Raw genomic sequence first — 5,731 nt, 5'->3', positions numbered from 1 at the left:
CCTTTATGATGGCTACCTCCGGAATGAGATTCCAAGCAGAGCATCTTCTTTTAGTGCAAGGAAGGCAGCTCTGTGGCCTGTCCTCTCATTGCCAGGCCACTGCTGGTCTGTGTAGGGAACGGGAGTTGGGCTCTGCAATTTTGAAAGCCTGAGCAGGTGTAGGCTATCTTTTGTGGGGTGAACAGGGGTGTGAGACATGTTTTCTTTCCATGCACAGTTGCCAGGCCCCAGTGGGAAGAATTGCTGCTGCACTTGAAACAATGTATAATGGACATGGAGGGGTGGGAGATGATCCCCCGGCTACATTCACTCCCAGGTATTGGTGCTGACCACTTCAATGATTGGCTACACACCTGTGTTTCCTTTGTCCAAGGGAGACTTTGGTGGCTGAACTTTCCCTCCCTTACAGGTGGCTTGTGCCAAGGGCTAGATCTCCAAGAGACCCACAGCTCTCTGGGGAACTGCAGGTCCCCTGTGCCTGCCAAAGTCAGTGCCCTTTGTGAGGTACGTTTGCGGATCTGGAGGTTCACTGGTGCTCAAGGGTGGAGGATTCCCAGGCAGGACAATGACACCATGAATGCACAGTTGGTATGCTGCTTGCTGTCAATTTGGGTCTGAGGGAAGAATGGGCATGGCTGAGCAAATTAGCTATTTGGTTCTCTGCTCCTCAGAAATCCTCTAATTACCATCAATAGTGTTGCCCTGTTTCATGAGGGCAAAGGGACTCACCAAAAATTTAGCAGGAGGCATATTGTCAGAGGGTTGAAGGGAGCAGAGAAGCACTTCCACCTACCATTTCCACTGGGCTCTAAGTTCCTCTGGCATCAATCTCAGCAAGGCTCTGGCTGTTTCATTTTTCTGTGGTATCCCAGCTTCTTCTTATGGGTGCTCCTACAGGTCCTGGCTCTCTTCTCTCCATTTTCTGTTCAATGTTTTCCAGTGAAAGGTAATTTTTATCTTCTTTCTGAAGAGAACTGGCATGCCATGGCCCCAGTTGGCCATCTTGAAAATACAAAGACAAAACCAAACAAATAAAAAACCTGGGGATGCTTATCATTAAGTAACACCAGTACATATGTAGAATAAATCAGAAGCTTTTGCTTGCATTTTTGTTTGACAAGTTCCTACACACTGAAATAGCTAATTGATAATATATATACAATTATATATGTATTCATTAGAAACAAATATGTATAGAACATCTATTATAGGTTCCACTCTGCTGTACATATAGTTGATATAGCAGTGAACTAGGTATTGTCTCTCCTTCTGTGAAATTTTCATTTTAGATACCACATTCTGGCAGGTTAAGTGAGGAACCGAAGGACAAAATTAAAGTTTTCTGCAGCTTCTCAAGTTGGTGACCATATTAAGGTGCTAAGAGGGTGGTATGCCTTGGGAGGTCATGTAAGCTCTGTGATTCTTTCACCTTACCTTACCTCATGCAACTCTTCCATTTGGGTATTCCTGAGTCATATTCTGAATAGTAAACTAATTACAGTAATTAAAAATATTTTGTTCACTTTTCAAAAATTAAATTCCAGATATATCAGTTGATAAGAAAAATTAATTTTGCTAACACTGCCTTTTAAAGAACAAATATAGTAGCTTTTTTTGGTTTCAGCTAGTGCTTCAGAGGTTGATGACTTATTGGTGGAAGCCACAGGTAGAAATTTACTGATACGGAAGGTCTTTTGTTCTGGTAATTAAATTATATCAATTCAATCAGTATCTATTGAATACCTTCACCCAGACGTTCACATACTGGTGGAGGAGTATTGGTCATAAGTTACAGTATAATATCATAGGGTGGTCTTTAAGTAAGAACAATACTGGATGATATACACTGCTATATATCAATATTTGTTATAAATCAACAGTAATCAGGAGGCTGTAATTGACATAAGAATAAATAAAAAGATCAATATATCAGTGTAAACAGTTCAATAAGAGACCTATACTAACATAGTCTCTTGATTTATTAAAAATTGGCATTGTACAATAATGGGAAAGGATAGTCTCATCAATAAATGTTTCTGGGTTAATTGTATATCCATAGGTAGAATGTGATTCTTGAACCCACACCACACATTCAAGCAAATAGCAATAAGTCAAATAGACCATGGTCAAAATATAAAACCAAAAATTTTAGATATTTAAAGATAATGTTCATTTTATGATCATAAGACTGGCAGAGGTTTCCTAAATATGACACCAAAATGACTGATAATTTGAATTATATTAAAATTTAAAACATCATAAAATGGCACTATTAAGAGGAAAAAAACAAACAAACAAAAAGAAACAAGAAATAAGCCACGGAAGGGGAGAAGAAGACATTATGGGAAAAGATTAAAAATAAAAAAATATAAGATTGAAAATATAAAGGTAAATGCCTAAGAGACTTAAAATCGCACTTCACAAAACAAAAATAGTGAAAATGTTAGCAAACATATCAGATTTTAAAATAAAACTCAATGCGATATGTCACTCCTCAATCGCCAGAGCATGCTCATGTGGTAGATGAGGGTGGGGAGGTGGGGAGAGGGTGTGGGGAGAGGACTGACAATTCCAAGTGCTGATGAGGAGAAAGGGCAATTGTAACCAACAGGCATTATTGGAGGAGAAAGTAAATATTGCAACAACTCCATTGCAATGAGCATATGCACAACCTATGTGTCAGAAATTCCACTCCAGATATACATATGATAGCAATGCATACAAACACACGCCAACAGATATGTATAGGGATATTCATAAAAGCACTATTTGCAATATCCTCAAAATGGAAAAAAAAAGTTATTCTCACAAATAGAATGGATAGATAGATTTTTGGAATAGATACACAATGCCCATACAATGTAACACCAAATAGCAATTTAGATGACCACACTAATCCTACATTTCGCATGGAAAGCTCTTATTAAAGACCCTGATGTACCACAGTAAATATTATTTAATTTCATTCATACAAAAATAAGAAACAGGCACATTTAAACATGGTGGTCACCAGAATGGAGAATTTTTTGACAGGGCCCATATGAGGGCTATTTTGGGATGCTACAAATATTTCATTTTTTATATGGGCAGAGATTACGTGAGTGTATTCACTCTGCATTCAGGAAGTGTTAATATACACTTATTTATGTAAATAACTCTATTTATGACTTGTTACTTTATGTTTTGATGTCTGTGTGTTTGCATTCATGCTTTATTTCAAATTATAAAAAAACAGTGCAGATTTTGAGTTTGTGCTATGCAAGTAAAGTTTCAATTTCTAATCACTTATATATTATTACAAAATTAGACAAGTTATTTTAACCTTTCTGAGGTTGTTTATTTATATGTAAAACTGAAAATACATTACTGAACTAAAATATCTGTGAACAATAATATTAATGTTTGTATTAGTTTTTATGTACCTGACTGCCTGCATTATGCACAGAATTCCATCTAATACAATAACATGATGAGGAAAGTTGTTACATATTCTCTATTTTAGACATGAAGATATATAGGCTTAAAAGTAATGAATTACCTTGCCTAAAATTCTTACAACTAGTAAGTTATAATGCCATGATCCTTTTTTTTTTAAATTCTCTACATCATACTTCCAAATACAGTATTAAATGTCACGATGCATTTATAGTACAGCATTGAAAAAAATTGTGTTGCAAATAGAATCACAGCTCCAATTGGCGTAAGCCAATAGTGGAAATTTTATATCTGGTAAAGACACTTGCAAAACAGGCAAGAACATACCTAGGAATTAGCAATGTCTGGAATAAAGTGATGGGCTGCTAATATGCACCTCTGTTTGCTTTTAATCCACAGAAAAGAATTTTGAGTATACTGGCTTGCATCTGATCCTCCCCTTGTGGCCAGAGCATTGTAGTATCAAGACAATTAGTCCCTAATGAAACAACAAGGTAGGAGAGAAAGGAGAAAGCTCCGTAAATATGTGTATGTGTATTATCTGTACTATATTTGTATATTAATGATGGGTTCTGGGAAGGCAAGCAATAAATGTCCATCACAAGTACCAGCACAAAAACATTCAAGAAATGTGAGCTATTATAATTATTTGCATATGTTTAGAGGAAGATATTCTACTCTGTTTTCTAAGCTTTTATCATATTTTTAAAATAAAAATTTGTCTTCTCTCCCATCATATTTTTAAAGTCATTTATTAGCATAGGCTGTGGATACTATTTCTACTTTTGCAATCCTCAGAAGTTGAAGTCATTCAAACACTTCATCTGTAGCCAACTGTGTTTGAATAAGATAGAGAAAACAAAGGCAGCAACTACATCTCTGCGTCAAGGTAGAGTTACGATTTTTGTCCCACAGTCTTTAATTTTCCAGAATGAGAAGGAAAGTGGAAGTCAACAGGTGGAAAGGATGCTTAGGAGGTTTTACCCTGATAATAGTTTTATAAATGACTTATGGCTTCCCCCTCTTTGTCATCAACATGTGTTTCATAAACTGTTGACAGAAGGGCTAACTGTGGAGTGCAAGTCAGATAGATCATATAATTGCTTTTACACTGTTGCCCCTTAGCAGGTCTGTGTTTGAATATGGATCTCATATTCAAAATCCAAAGACAAATACCTTTTTACCTATTCATCATCAGAGATTAGGCGTGTAGGTTTAGATAATCTATAGCTGACTCTAATACCCTAGTGGTCTAAAGAAATTAATGACTTCCAAAGTTGAGTGAGAGCAGTGGGGAATATATTAGAACAGTGGTTTTCATCCTTAGTACACATGAGAAAGGCACTGGCAGCTTTTAGAAATGCAATGCTATTTCTAAGTCTTCTTAAGAGATCAATTAAAACATCATCTCTGGGTGCATGTCTTCGGAATAGTATTTTCTAAAATGCTCCCTAGGTGATTAAAAATTTCCCCAAACATTACTTAAATCCTAAGAGAAGTCGAATATCTCCTTATAAACCACTGCATTAATGATAGGAAGAATTTACCTTAATAAAAAGTACTTTCTTTTTCTGTTTACTTCAACATACTTTTGGGAATATTTCTGTTTGATATCATTTGAATTTTTAAATAGGGAGTAGGGGAAAAGGGTTTAGATTTTCCCTTCTTCAGTTCACTAATGAATCTGAGTACAAATGCTGAGTCAAACCTCTTTTTTTTTCTTTTTTTTTTTTCATTTGCCTCAGCTGAGTGGAGATAAAATGTACATCAGTTAGGGAAAGAAAAAAATACTCAAAATGCTGAACTTGCTTTTGCTATAAGTAGAACCAATTACTTTTCTGGCTATTTTACACACATAAAAGGTATCTGATGCTAAGCAATTTCAAATTACAGGCACGAACTGGTCTTACTTGTAGGTCTTAATCACTGGTGACAGTGTCATTTCTAGGTCATAAACATGCTTTGTCAGCTGATATATGTGCTTGCTTTTTTTTTTTTTCTAAGAGCCTTGAGACTGTCATTTATAAAATGCTTCTATATTTGTTCATCAAAATCATAAAGCTTTTATAGTAGTGTAAAAATAAATAAATGCACCCTATGCATTCCCAAATACATCTGATTTTTATTTTTTCTTAAAATAACCTTCTCCCAAAAAAAACTCCTTAATTCCAAACAGTCAACTGGAAATTGACTTTTATTTTCTTAATACCTTTTCATTAAGAAAGCTGCTTTGTTCTTCGTTTTCTCCTTTTATATATTTGTATATTTAAATCACACACCCACCCACACACACACA

The 5,731-nt window shown here is 35.6% G+C and overlaps 1 annotated feature.

Moving 5' to 3' along the window:
• Positions 5,173-5,373: a silencer, noted in NCBI's record as "peak5173 fragment used in MPRA reporter construct". NCBI's record gives its function as "represses an SCP1 promoter by STARR-seq MPRAs in K562 erythroleukemia cells {active_cell/tissue: K562}" and the evidence as "EXISTENCE:reporter gene assay evidence [ECO:0000049][PMID:32103011]".

This window comes from Homo sapiens, chromosome 5 (genome assembly GCF_000001405.40).
Source record: "Homo sapiens chromosome 5, GRCh38.p14 Primary Assembly".
Taxonomy (NCBI): domain Eukaryota; kingdom Metazoa; phylum Chordata; class Mammalia; order Primates; family Hominidae; genus Homo; species Homo sapiens.
The sequence above is the reverse complement of the archived record's forward strand: the minus strand, read 5'-3'. Positions and strand labels throughout refer to the sequence as shown.